Raw genomic sequence first — 13,646 nt, forward strand, 5'->3', positions numbered from 1 at the left:
CCTAAAAATCATTAAAATTAATTTCATCTGTTTCTTTATCCTTTAAAAAATATGGCTGCAAAAATTTTAGAATGAACCTACTGGCTCCCATTGTATTTCTGCTGGACAGTGCCCATCTAGGTAGGCTCTCCCTCCTTCATCCCCTCACCCATCTCCTCTCCTCCCAGGCCCCAGGCCCACTCTGTGCTTCAGACCACAGTGGTCCCTAAGCCTCAGGTGCTTTTCCCCCCAATCCTGTCCTCCCCATCTCGCCGCCACACTCAATTTATTAAGATTCTGCTTGAAACTTCCCCTTGGAGGCCTTGGAGAAGTTTTGCTCCTTGGTTCACAGGTCCGCCTCCCCTCACCAGCCCTTGACATCAGGGCCTTGCTCTGCTCTTTGGGCAGCAAGAAACAATTCAGTGCTGTTGGTTAAATCAAGCAATGGAGGAGAAAAGCCCGCAGAAGCCCGTCTAAAGGGTAGAGTTGGAGGGAGGGAAGGGGTAACAGGTCACAATTACCAGATGAACACATTCAAATTTTCAAAAATGGGTAAGTTTAACATGGATTCAGAATGTGAATTACTTTTTAGGATCAAATAATAGTGGTAACAGCAGTAAGAGTTACAAAGAATAAGAAACACAGGAGAAACTTACTTTCTTTGCATAGTCTACTCACAAGGGAGGCCTGGCCCTGGGACCCGGGTCCGCGCCCGTCCCCCTTCTCCCCGCCCACCTCGAGCCTGCAGGAGAGGGGACCCCGAGGGCCCAGAGGCACCGGACCTACTCACCCGGCAGGCCGCTCTCCTCGGTGCAGACAGCACAGGGAGGAGGGGGAAGCGGCTCTGCCGGGAACAGGGAGGGACCTCCAGGGAAGCGAAACTGAAACTTTGCGCCCAGTCCGCAGGGCGGGCCGCGCCTTTACCGCCCAGCTGCCTCCCGGAGCCCCCGCGCCCTCCCGACGCGCAGAGCCATGGCCTCCCACCTGCGCCCGCCGTCCCCGCTCCTCGTGCGGGTGTACAAGTCCGGCCCCCGAGTACGAAGGAAGCTGGAGAGCTACTTCCAGAGCTCTAAGTCCTCGGGCGGCGGGGAGTGCACGGTCAGCACCCAGGAACACGAAGCCCCGGGCACCTTCCGGGTGGAGTTCAGTGAAAGGGCAGGTGAGCTTCGGGCGGCCAGGCTGCGAAAGCCCTCTGGGGGCCCGGCCCCCGGGTTTCCAGGCGGACCCAGTTCCAGCTGACCTAGGGGAGAGGGCGGGAGAAAGTATGTCACTGTGCGGTGGCGGACAGGGACGGGGCCCTACTGCCAAGAGACTCACTGAGACAGTGAACACTCGGTGGAGGATGGGGCCTCACATGTGCCTGGTGCGGGTCTGGCTGACGGCGCCTTAGTGTGGATGCTTTCCATATCCTCATTCTAACTTAATTTCTCAGCTGTCATCTTCCTTCCCCCAGATGCCTGCCAGCTGCTGTCCTTGTCATTCAGGGATTCCACTTTTATGTTTTAAATAATGGTTCCATTGTTCCATCCATGAACAAAAGGATGTTCCATTTTGTGTTTTTGAGGATTACAAAAGTGATATATGCTCACTATAGAAATAAAAGAGTAAAAAAGAAAACAACCTGAAGATAAACAATGTGACCATTTGGTGTATTTCCTTCCTGCCTTTTTTTATGAATGCCAGCAAACACATGTATATTTACAAAATTCGGAGTCTGCACTTTTGATTCCTGCTGTTGTCACTTACCTGTATAATGAGTATTGAAATGGGAGACTGGGCCGGGTGCGGTGGCTCACGCCTGTAATCCTAGCACTTTGGAGGCCGAGGTTGGTGGATCACCTGAGGCCAGGAGTTCGAGACCAGCCTGGCCAACATGGGGAAATTCCGTCTCTACTAATAATACAAAAATTACCCGGGCATGGTGGTGCGCACCTGTAATCCAAGCTACTCTGGAGGCTGAGGCAGGAGAATCGCTGGAACTCGGGAGGCAGAGAGGTTGCAGTGAGACGAGGTCCTACCATTGCACTCCAGCCTGGGTGACAGAGTGAGACTCCGTCTAAAAAAAAAAAAAAAAAAAAAAAGAAGGAAGGAAGGGAGGGAGGGAGGGAAAGAAGGAAGAAGGAAAGGGGAGACTGGAGACAGTTTTAGAAACATGATGTTTAATCGGTGGACAATGTTCCATTGTCATTAAGCTTTCACTTCTATAGTAAAACTTAATCCGCACACTTTAGAGCTCTTAATAGCTCCCCGACTTTCTCCATCGCCAACCCACCATTCCAGGATGCAGGGAGCAGCCTTACTGGGAGGTGCTGGGGCAGAGTACAGACACAGGAATGAGAGGATTACTTGAAATCTCTCCCATTTTTATGTGTGTATATGTGTGTGTTTAATGTCTCCACTGAAGCTAAGGAGAGAGTGTTGAAAAAAGGAGAGCACCAAATACTTGTTGACGAAAAACCTGTGCCCATTTTCCTGGTACCCACTGAAAATTCAATAAAGAAGAACACGAGACCTCAAATTTCTTCACTGACACAATCACAAGCAGAAACACCGTCTGGTGATATGCATCAACATGAAGGACATATTCCTAATGCTGTGGATTCCTGTCTCCAAAAGGTGAGTATTGAAAGAAGGAGCTGGCTGTGCCTGCGCCTCCTCTCCAGTCACCAGCCTCATGTATTATTGATCCAACACCCATGTGCTGGGCACGTACATGGGAGCCAGGCACTGTTTTAGGCACTGGACACAGAGATGAATATAACAGACAAGGCCCCTGCTCTCAGGCAGCTTATACTGGGGGCCAGGTCATGCACAGAAAGACAGTAGGCAAGTAAACAAAATAAATAAAACCATTTTATTTATTTGGAGAGAAACAGCGCCAGGGCAAGCAAGGGGAAGATGGGGGTGGTGTTACTTCTTTTTTTCCCCCCAAGACAGAGTCTCACTTTATCGCCCAGGCTGGAGTACAGTGGCACAATCATGGCTCACTGCAGAGTTGACCTCCTGGGCTCAAGGGATCCTCTCACCTCAGTCTCCTGAGTAGCTAGGACTATAGGCGCCACTACACCCAGCCAATTTTTTTTTTTTTTGTAGAAACAGAGTCTCACTATGTTGCCCAGGCTGTTCTCAAATTCCTGGGCTCAAGCGATCTGCCCGCCTTGGCCTCCCAAAGTGCTGGGATTACAGTCATGAATTACTGCACCTGGCCTGGTGCTACTTCTAACCAGAAATCAGAGACAACTTGACTGAGGAGGTGATGTTTGGCCTGAAACTTGAATGATGACAAGATTCATTCAACAATAGATATCCACTGCCTACTGTGTTCCAGGCACTGTTATAGGAGCTGGGGAGGCAGCCAGGAACATGGCAGACTCGGCTTCCAGGGACGGCACCTTCTAGAGAGAGAAACAGACAATATTAGTAAACAATAGATATATAATAAAATGTCTGCCAGTCATACCTGCTAGGAAGAAGAATAAGTGACAGACAGTGACAGAACCACCATTTAAAATAGGATGTCTGGAAAAACCTCAAGTGAGGTGACATCTCTAGCCAAGTGGATTTCTGGGCGGAAAGTGTCCTAGAGGGAAGCATAGGTGCAAAGTCCCCAAGAGCTGACATTTTGAGGCCCAGAAGCTTTAAGGAAGCCAGTGTGGTGGGGAGGGCAGTGAGCAATGGAGAGAGGTGCTAGGAACTCGGGAAGGTACCCAGAAGACAGGCCTTTGGGGCTGAAGGTAAGGATTTTGGATTTTTAACTTAAAATGTTAGGGGATTCATCAGATAGTTTTGAGCCAGGGGAGAGGGCGATCTGGTTTATATTTCTAAAGGGTCACTCTGGCTGCTGTTGGAAAACTGAACGTAGAAAGGGGATAGAATGGAGAGTTAGAGCCTGGTTAGGAGGGGTTGCAGTGCGCCAGGTGAAAGATGATAATGGCATGCACTTTGGTGGCCTTGATGGAGGTGTGAGAAATGGCTGGATTCAGGAAACATTTTGAAGATCTAGAGGAAGGATCTTAACATGCAAAGTCCTTGAGAAGGAACAAAACATTAGGAATTTTGCTTTTATATTACAGTCAATTGGTCTCTGTCCTTTTTATCTTAACCTGGCGTGTCTTATATTTGAGCTTCTAAAGGCCAGGGTTTAGAAGGGTCCACAACTTTGCATGCAGTCGAGTGTTTAGTTGAAACAAGAATAAAGGAGGAAGAGTGAAGAAGAGAAAAAATAGTAATAGGAAAAGCCATTGCCCTCAGTTTTATGGCTCCCTTCCAAGTTCACAAACTTTTGTGAGGGCCACAACAACTTGCCCAGAGAGCACAGGTGCCTTCCCTTGACTGCTGTTCCCAAGATCAAACAGCTAGTGGCAGTTGTAGAACACGGATCTCTTGGCCATGGAGCTTTTAGAAATGCTCATGCCCAGGCTCCACTGCAGATTAGTTAACATCAGAATCTCTGGGGATGTGCTTGGGCTTTGGCTGGTTTGTTTTTCCCTGAATTCGCCAGGTGAGTCTTATATGCAGACAGGGCTGAGAACCTCTGGGATGTAGCGTGCTGTATCCTCTAAAAAGGATTTGAGACCAGGCACGGTGGCACATGTCTGTAATCCCAGCACTTTGGGAGGCTGAGGTGGGTGGATCACCTGAGGTCAGGAGTTCCAGGCTAGCCTGACCAACATGGAGAAACCTCGTCTCTACTAAAGATACAAAATTAGCCGGGCGTGGTGGCACATGCCTATAATCCCAGCTACTCAGGAGGCTGAGGCAGGAGAATTGCTTGAACCCGGGAGGCGGAGGTTGCAGTGAGCTGAGATCGCGCCATTGCACTCCAGCCTGGGTAACAAGAGTGAAACTCCATCTTGAAATAAATAAATAAATAAATAAATAAATAAATAAATAAATAGGATTTGAAAGAAGTTGCCCCCACTTGGGAAAGATGTAGTGGTTGTTTCTCTAGTCTCTATGCATTCTCCTGAAGAGAAGATGGTAGGCCTGCATGCTGAGAGGTTTTATTTGTTCCTGTTCCTTTTAAAATTTCAGATCTTTCTTACTGTAACAGCTGACCTGAACTGTAACCTGTTCTCCAAAGAGCAGAGGGCATACATAACCACACTGTGCCCTAGTATCAGAAAAATGGAAGGTCACGATGGAATTGAGAAGGTGTGTGGTGACTTCCAAGACATTGAAAGAATACATCAATTTTTGAGTGAGCAGTTCCTGGAAAGTGAGCAGAAACAACAATTTTCCCCTTCAATGACAGAGAGGAAGCCACTCAGTCAGCAGGAGAGGGACAGCTGCATTTCTCCTTCTGAACCAGAAACCAAGGCAGAACAAAAAAGCAACTATTTTGAAGTTCCCTTGCCTTACTTTGAATACTTTAAATATATCTGTCCTGATAAAATCAACTCAATAGAGAAAAGATTTGGTGTAAACATTGAAATCCAGGAGAGTTCTCCAAATATGGTCTGTTTAGATTTCACCTCAAGTCGATCAGGTGACCTGGAAGCAGCTCGTGAGTCTTTTGCTAGTGAATTTCAGAAGAACACAGAACCTCTGAAGCAAGAATGTGTCTCTTTAGCAGACAGTAAGCAGGCAAATAAATTCAAACAGGAATTGAATCACCAGTTTACAAAGCTCCTTATAAAGGAGAAAGGAGGCGAATTAACTCTCCTTGGGACCCAAGATGACATTTCAGCTGCCAAACAAAAAATCTCTGAAGCTTTTGTCAAGATACCTGTGAAACTATTTGCTGCCAATTACATGATGAATGTAATTGAGGTTGATAGTGCCCACTATAAACTTTTAGAAACTGAATTACTACAGGAGATATCAGAGATCGAAAAAAGGTATGACATTTGCAGCAAGGTTTCTGAGAAAGGTCAGAAAACCTGCATTCTGTTTGAATCCAAGGACAGGCAGGTAGATCTATCTGTGCATGCTTATGCAAGTTTCATCGATGCCTTTCAACATGCCTCATGTCAGTTGATGAGAGAAGTTCTTTTACTGAAGTCTTTGGGCAAGGAGAGAAAGCACTTACATCAGACCAAGTTTGCTGATGACTTTAGAAAAAGACATCCAAATGTACACTTTGTGCTAAATCAAGAGTCAATGACTTTGACTGGTTTGCCAAATCACCTTGCAAAGGCGAAGCAGTATGTTCTAAAAGGAGGAGGAATGTCTTCATTGGCTGGAAAGAAATTGAAAGAGGGTCATGAAACACCGATGGACATTGATAGCGATGATTCCAAAGCAGCTTCTCCGCCACTCAAGGGCTCTGTGAGTTCTGAGGCCTCAGAACTGGACAAGAAGGAAAAGGGCATCTGTGTCATCTGTATGGACACCATTAGTAACAAAAAAGTGCTACCAAAGTGCAAGCATGAATTCTGCGCCCCTTGTATCAACAAAGCCATGTCATATAAGCCAATCTGTCCCACATGCCAGACTTCCTATGGTATTCAGAAAGGAAATCAGCCAGAGGGAAGCATGGTTTTCACTGTTTCAAGAGACTCACTTCCAGGTTATGAGTCCTTTGGCACCATTGTGATTACTTATTCTATGAAAGCAGGCATACAAACAGTAAGTATTTCTCAAGTCCATGGGTTTCTTGCCACTATGCTACGATTACCAGGGCAAAAGAGACTGTCCTGTTGCCTATTAGACAATAGATTTCCCAAGGAATTATCTCCAGGGTCATGTGCAAGGGACTGAAATAGTGGTAAAGGTCACAATGTTTGCTGGTAATTCAAATACCTTTTGTGTCTATTTCTTAAGACAGAGAAAGGGTGGGTGGAGATTATATCTTGAGATGGGGGTATCAGGAAGGTGGACAGTGTTTCCAGCATGAATTCAAGGAAAGAGGAGAAATATGAGTTATTGGGAATATGAGCATAACTTCAATACCTTTCTTGCTTTTGATTTGCTTTATCTACAAATGAACACATCTATACCTATAGTAAAAATTAGACAGGGCACTCTTTTCACATGACATTTTCTTGTTCTCACACAGGAAGAACACCCAAACCCAGGAAAGAGATACCCTGGAATACAGCGAACTGCATACTTGCCTGATAATAAGGAAGGAAGGAAGGTTTTGAAACTGCTTTATAGGGCCTTTGACCAAAAGCTGATTTTTACAGTGGGGTACTCTCGCGTATTAGGAGTCTCAGATGTCATCACTTGGAATGATATTCACCACAAAACATCCCGGTTTGGAGGACCAGAAATGTGAGATCCTTTTGGGATGTAATGGCTGCTCAACAGAGTATAGGGATTATGAAATACGGCAATTTCTGGATGTGGATATAAGTAGACTCTATAGCAGTGGAATTGGTGTTTTGAGAGCTGCTGATCGGGGATGGTAATCTCAAAGACAGAAAGATTGGTCCCCATCAACTTCTACCCTGCCAGCTATAAAGTACTATGGAGTTATTTAAATTTTGCACCAAAGGACAGGGGGCTTTTGAATCCGAGATGAATACTATATAAGCTGATTTAATTTGAGGCGTTGTGTCTATCTGAAGGCTAGATGCTCGGAATGTCACTTTGCTTCCTTTTAAGGTCACCTTTCTTTTTCACCCCTTCCCCCACCAGTCCACAGAGAACCTGAAATCACTTGGCCAATAATATTCTAGAAAAAGTCTAAGTTGTGAGGAGACTATTGGTAGAAACTGTATTATACGAAATCCAATTGTTCTTTATGAAACCCAAATAGGATTCCTCAGACCCTTGGCACTAAAGAAAAAATATATACCCTGAGACTTTTCCAAAACCTTAAATTTGAAAATCCTACTAGCATGTGATTACGATGCCCCCCTAAAACACAGTATATTATTATATTTTTAGGAGAGTCACTACTTACCATAAACTGAAAAATTTTAAGAATTAACATAGACATGAAGCCTCAAAGTAAATCAACGTATTACTATTCATCTTGGATTCTCAAACCCCCTGCCCTTTGATGCGAAATGTAATAAATACATCATATTAATACTTTGTAGTTGGCAGGGTAGAAGCCAGCTTGAAAGGCAGATGCTGGCCAGACAGCTAGGCTCACTCGCTAGCGAAATGACTCGCATCTGCGAATTTAAAAGTCATGATACGTCATCCACCTTCAGGATTACTTGTGAATGTTTGCAACACTGGATATTAATTAAATCCTTAAATGCTGGATATCTATTGCACATATCCGAACAATTTGTGGTGACACTAAAGGAATTTTTGTTTCTTCAGGTATGGCTATCCTGATCCTTCTTACCTGAAACGTGTCAAAGAGGAGCTGAAAGCCAAAGGAATTGAGTAAGACAACTGCTGGAAGATGTCTTAAATCAAGCTTTCAAAAAAATATATTTTAGGAGGCTGATTTAATGCCAGTCTAAATCCTTATGTAGAAAGGACTTTGAAATTTTTCTTCTCAAGAAATGGTTTGTATAAGAATAACAATCTGCTAGTCTGTCATTTCTGGAGTGATACTTTTTTTTTTGAGACGGAGTCTGCTCTGTCGCTCGCGCTGGAGTGCAGTGGCATGATCTCGGCTCACTGCAAGCTCCGCCTCCCAGGTTCATGCCATTCTCCTACCTCAGCCTCCCGAGTAGCTGGGACTACAGGCGCCCACCACCATGCCCGGCTAATTTTTGTTTTTGTATTTTTAGTAGAGACAGGGTTTCACTGTGTTAGCCAGGATGGTCTCGATCTCCTGACCTCGTGATCCGCCCGCCTCAGCCTTCCAAAGTGTTGGGATTATAGGCGTGAGCCACCGCGCCCAGCCCTGGAGTGATACTTTTTATGGAAGACAAAAGCCCCCCAAATCTGTGTAAAATCTGCTGCAAAGGTGTCATCCCTCTTGTGTCATCACTGGGGTTAGAGGTGGGTCCGAAATAATCTTCTGTGTCCTTCAGTTGGACTCTCGGCTGCCAATTGATCTCTTTTTCATTGCCATCTCTGGGGTGGTTCTTTGGTTTTTTGTGTGTTTTCCCCTTCATCTCTACCTGTGAAAGTGAAATTCTATTGTAAATGGGAGGAAAAAGGGTTGGTTGTGAAAAATTAAAGACCCACATTCTGCTTTCTTACTCATGGTAAGAAAAGTGGCCATGAGTAGAGATTGGGCAAGCATTGGTAATAAATGGAATAAGACTATTATTATTATTATTTGAGATGGAGTCTCACTCTGTCACCCAGGCTGGAATGCAGTGGTGTGATCTTGGCTCACTGCAACCTCCACTTCCCGGGTTCAAGCGATTCTCCTGCCTCAGCCTCCTGAGTAGCTGGGATTACAGGTGTGTGCCTCCACACCCGGCTAATTTTTTGTATTTTTAGTAGAGACGGGGTTTTGCCATGTTGGCCAGGCTGGTTTCAAACTCCTGAGCTCAAATGATCCTCCTGCCTTGGCCTCCCAAAGTGCTGGAATTACAGGCATGAGCCACCACACCCACACAAGACTATCATTTTTAATGACCAAGAGCCTAGTATATAGTTGGTGCCTGTCTTAGTCTGTTTGTGTTGCTATAAAAGAACACCTGAGACTGGGTAATTGATAAAGAAAAAGGTTTGTTTGGCTCACAATTTTGCTGGCTAGAAGGTTGGGCATCCGGTGAAAGCCTCAGGCTGCTTCCATTCATAGCAAAGGGCAGCCAGTGTGTGCAGAAATCAAATGACAGAGAGGAAGTGAGAGAGAGAGGTGTCGGGGAGGTGCCAGGCTCTTTTTAACAAGCAGTTCTTCAGGAACTAAGAGTGAGTCACTCCCATGAGAACAGCACCAAGCCATTCATGGGGGAATCTGCCCCCATGACCCAGACCCCTCCCGTTAGGCTTCACCTCCAACACTGAGGATCAAATTTCAACATGAGATTTGGAGGAGGTCAAACAAACTAAACTGTAGCAGTGTTTCATAAAATTGTTTGCCTGACTCAGGTTGCTAGTAAGCCAGCAGAGGGATATTTGCCTCCTAAATCTTTGGCAGAGGCAGGAGTAAGGAAGCCATTTCTGGAGTCCTTGCTACTAATTTGGAAAACTGAGCTTCTTTCTTTCATTGCTTTTTCCCTTAAGAGACAAGTCCTTACTATATTGCCCTGTCTCTCAAGGGAAGACATCAAGACTGGACTTGAACTCCTGGGCTCAAGCCATCCCCCAACCTTGGCCTCTCGAGTAGATGGGATTATAGGCATGTGCCACGGTGCCTGACTTGAGTTTCTTATTCTAGAACACTTGGAGCCTGAACTCTGACCAGGCCCCTCACTTGAGCCTTTGCTTTCTGCTCCTTGTAAACTGCCATATTGGGTGCACTTGCCCTGCCACAGTAATGCTATATATTTCTGAGCATTGTTTTTCTCTAGATAATTTTATATTTTTGAGTATACCCCACTTCCAAGTGTTTTTTGTTTTGTTTTGCTTTGTTTTTGTTGTTGTTGTTTTGAGACAGGGTCTCACTGTGTCCCCCAGGCTGGAGTGCAGTGGCACAATGACGACTCACTGCAGCCTCAACCTCCTGGGGCCAAGTGATCCTCCCACCTCAGCCTCTCAAGTGGCTGGGACCACAGAAGTGCACCACCATGCCTGGCTTTTTTTTTTTTTTTTGGTCGAGATGGGGTGTCCCTGTGTTGCCCAGACTGGTCTTGAACTCCTGGACTCAAGGGATCCTCCTGTCTTGGGCTCCCAAAGTGTTGGGATTACAGGCGTGAGTGACCATGCCTAGCTCACTTCCAGGTTTAACAGACAAAATAAACTTACTCTAGTTTCCATCTCTATCATTTTATAATAACCGTAGCCCACATTGTAGTAGTTTTTCAGCTCTTTACTAAGTCCCACCAATTCATGTTTTCACCCTTAAAATCTTTCTCACTGATACTCTCTCTGGACAGAAAAAAGGTGAAATAAGCCTACTATAAGGAATATATGACATGCTAAATTTTATTTTTAAACGGTTCTTCAAGTCAGATTAAAGTAATAATAGCAAATTATGTGATTATCCATGTCCCAGCCTCTCTCCAAAAAAATAGTAAACAAGATGTCTTCTTCTTTTCCCAAAGATACACATACACACATGTACAAATTTTTTTATCAGATAATAATAGCTAATATTTAATGAGTACTTACCTTAGTTTGTCCCCTTTACAACAGCTTTACATCTGTGTGATTGATACAGTTCATATTCCCATTTTATAACTGAGAAAACTGGTGCACAGAGAGGATAAGCAACTTGCCAAAGGTCACACAGTTAATAAGTGGAAATGCTGGGGTATGAACCAGGTAGTCTGCCCCCATAGCTCTGCCCCCCAGAGCTGTACTGTCTCCCATGAGGGTACTTCTCCATGGAGCAGCCTGAGGCGATCCCTTTATTCTGGGCTTCTCTCAGAAATGGATTCCCACACAGTATTCAAAGCAAATTTCCCCAGAGGAAATCCTATTGGAAGAACTTAAAAACTCAGAATCTTTTTCTTTGTCCAGAGAGTTGAGGAAGCTTAAGCTAAATGATACATGTTTTTAAAAAAAAATCAGATTATAAATTTAGTTTTTGGTGATTCATTAAATTCTTTACTATTATAGTTATTTTCTAGCTGTTCATCTTTTAGCTAAATTTGTTCCAAAGAAGCAAAAGTTTGGTTTCTACTAAGTTCTGGATTCTGGATGGGAGATTGCACTGTGTGTGACATGCAAGTTTCATGGTGTGGGAGATTGCAGAGCATTTGGGTTACTGCTTTTACTCTTTGGAAGCTGTTATCATCTGTATCTGCTTTAAATAAAGTTAAAGATTTGGAACAAATTGTGTTCTTTCCCTTGCTTCTTTTTTTTTCCTTTAGGTTGAGATTCTGGGTGTTTCCTACAACACACACAGCATACAGTTGTATAACATGTGCATGGAGATCTTTGGTTGATTTTGTGTGTAGCTGCTTCCTAAATATGATCACAGTACAACTTAACTACTCTTGACTTCACTGCTGTTACTTTTGGCTGTAAAAATCACATTTCTCAGTATTTTTTCCTTATAACATATAGGTTATAAAGATAAAAGTAGGCTGCAGATATCATCTCTTCTCTCCTGGAGAGAGTATATACAATACCCTATCAAACTATATTTGCCCTCTCCTTGCTTCTTGAGGTTCTGTTTCACCTCTCCAACATTGGTGCTGAAGTACCCAGACAGGTCATTGAGCACTATTAGATCAGGGGCACCCTTCTCTCCAAAGAAAAAATAAAATAAAAGAATAATACATATTTGATGCTTCCCTGAAAATAGCATCAAAGTAATCATTAGGAGAAAAATAAGATCTTTATTGGACTTCCTTACACTTACCGTAATAGTTTAGTGTTTACAAAAATTATCCAGGCATGGTGGTACACATCTGTAATCCCAGCTATTCCGGAGGCTGAGGCATGAGAATTGCTTGAACCCAGGAGGCAGAGGTTGCAGTAGGCTGGGATCAGGCCACTGCACTCCAGCCTGGGCAACAGAGCGAGACTCTGTCTCAAAAAAAAAAAAAAATGTTTAGTACTGTTTTTGGTTTGATTTCCATACAGAAGTTAGGTGCTATTTCCTTTTTTATCGATTGGGTCATTTTTATTGATCAGATCTAAAACATAGAGCTTGATGCAAAGATTAAGATATTAATAATTTTGGAGGTCCAAGCCCAAGGACAAACAAAAAGAGAAGTGAGGCAAAGTAAGATGTAATGTAACGCGGTGCTAGGGGTTATCACCCTGGTTACTGCTTCACAATGAACCTGATGTTGCTGGTCTGGGAATTACATTTAGAGATCCACTGGCCTAGAAAATAGAGTTTAAACTCAGCAGCATGGCCGTTAGCGATTGCTCATGCCACTTTGCATACTTTGTGCTCCTTCCTCACCACCAAGTCCCTAGGGTTCAGTCACACCAGACTACAAGATTTTCCAAAGCACAGTCTATGCTTTCATTCATGTGATCTTTGTTCTGTGTAATCCACCCCCATCGCTGCTCTCTGCATGACAGATGATGAAAAAGGGAACTCTGAAGAGAGAGAGGGAGAGAGAGACACACCTCATTCTCATTCTTCACCTGATTTTCCTCTTAGAAAGTCCCCTACTCATCATGCAAGGTCTTACTGAAATGCCACTACTATAGAAACTTTTCTCCAATCTTGTCTCTAAATTACAACGAACCACTGATTTCTGTTATCCTAATACTTTATATGTATCTCAATGCAAATACGATACCAAAACCTTTTACCCTGCTCTCTGCCTTGGAGGTGGTACTGAGGGCTGACCTCTAAGTACCACATCAGCTCCATTCTCTGATTACTCATTGGGTTCTGCAGTGGGAGGTACCAGCACGAGATTGGAAGGCACACGGAGAGAGTACTTGGGATGCTTATACTCCCCTGGCTGTCTTCCGAAAGCAGTCATGGGTTCTACCTGCTGGCACTTGGTATAGCTCTTACCAAGTTCAGGAGATGCCCCCTCCCTTGCCCCTTCAGCCTAGATGGTAAGGGGAGGAGGCTACTTCACCATCTCTCAATGGTTTCCTTAACCCTTTGCCCACACCTGTGTAAATAATTTCTTTATTAAATTATCTTCAATTATTAATTTTGAGTATACCATCTGTATACTGCCAGGACTTTTCGTGATACACCAGGTAACAGTATTAATCTATGTTTTATTTCTCCACCTCCTACTTCACCCCTCACTCCAAAGAGAGGGGATCTG

General features: G+C 44.3%; 2 protein-coding genes across 33 annotated transcripts in view, besides 3 other annotated features; one reads left to right on the plus strand and one right to left on the minus strand.

Annotated features, from left to right (window-relative positions):
• Positions 1-1,309, minus strand: part of PARP9 (poly(ADP-ribose) polymerase family member 9) — a 36,861-nt gene extending 35,552 nt beyond the window's left edge. For 19 of the 32 annotated variants that reach the window (NR_170859.1, NR_170861.1, NR_170864.1 and 16 more), the window contains exon 1: positions 770-825. The gene's annotated coding sequence lies outside the window, so the exon portion shown is untranslated. Of the gene's footprint in view, positions 1-635; positions 826-963 lie in introns of those variants that run through there. The other 13 variants (NR_170865.1, NM_001387877.1, NM_001387881.1 and 10 more) reach the window with 2 other exon arrangements.
• Positions 611-710: a silencer, noted in NCBI's record as "silent region_14642". NCBI's record gives its function as "represses an Ori minimal core promoter by ATAC-STARR-seq in GM12878 lymphoblastoid cells {active_cell/tissue: GM12878}" and the evidence as "EXISTENCE:reporter gene assay evidence [ECO:0000049][PMID:35858748]".
• Positions 751-870: an enhancer, noted in NCBI's record as "active region_20377". NCBI's record gives its function as "activates an Ori minimal core promoter by ATAC-STARR-seq in GM12878 lymphoblastoid cells {active_cell/tissue: GM12878}" and the evidence as "EXISTENCE:reporter gene assay evidence [ECO:0000049][PMID:35858748]".
• On the plus strand, positions 863-11,728 carry DTX3L (deltex E3 ubiquitin ligase 3L). The gene is made up of 5 exons (NM_138287.3): positions 863-1,138; positions 2,384-2,595; positions 5,014-6,549; positions 6,980-7,197; positions 8,203-11,728. The coding sequence occupies exons 1-5, from the start codon at positions 952-954 to the stop codon at positions 8,270-8,272; spliced, it is 2,223 nt and encodes a 740-aa protein (NP_612144.1). The 5' UTR covers positions 863-951; the 3' UTR covers positions 8,273-11,728.
• Positions 12,558-12,607: an enhancer, noted in NCBI's record as "active region_20378". NCBI's record gives its function as "activates an Ori minimal core promoter by ATAC-STARR-seq in GM12878 lymphoblastoid cells {active_cell/tissue: GM12878}" and the evidence as "EXISTENCE:reporter gene assay evidence [ECO:0000049][PMID:35858748]".

Source organism: Homo sapiens, chromosome 3 (genome assembly GCF_000001405.40).
Source record: "Homo sapiens chromosome 3, GRCh38.p14 Primary Assembly".
NCBI classification, from domain to species: Eukaryota; Metazoa; Chordata; class Mammalia; order Primates; family Hominidae; genus Homo; species Homo sapiens.

Excerpts from the sequence above, each read along its gene's own strand:
- DTX3L (NM_138287.3), top strand. The coding sequence starts at position 952 with ATGGCCTCCCACCTGCGCCCGCCGTCCCCGCTCCTCGTGCGGGTGTAC. Across the intron at positions 1,139-2,383 it reads GGAGTTCAGTGAAAGGGCAG|CTAAGGAGAGAGTGTTGAAA; the intron begins GTGAGCTTCGGG and ends TCTCCACTGAAG. Across the intron at positions 7,198-8,202 it reads CGGTTTGGAGGACCAGAAAT|GTATGGCTATCCTGATCCTT; the intron begins GTGAGATCCTTT and ends TTGTTTCTTCAG.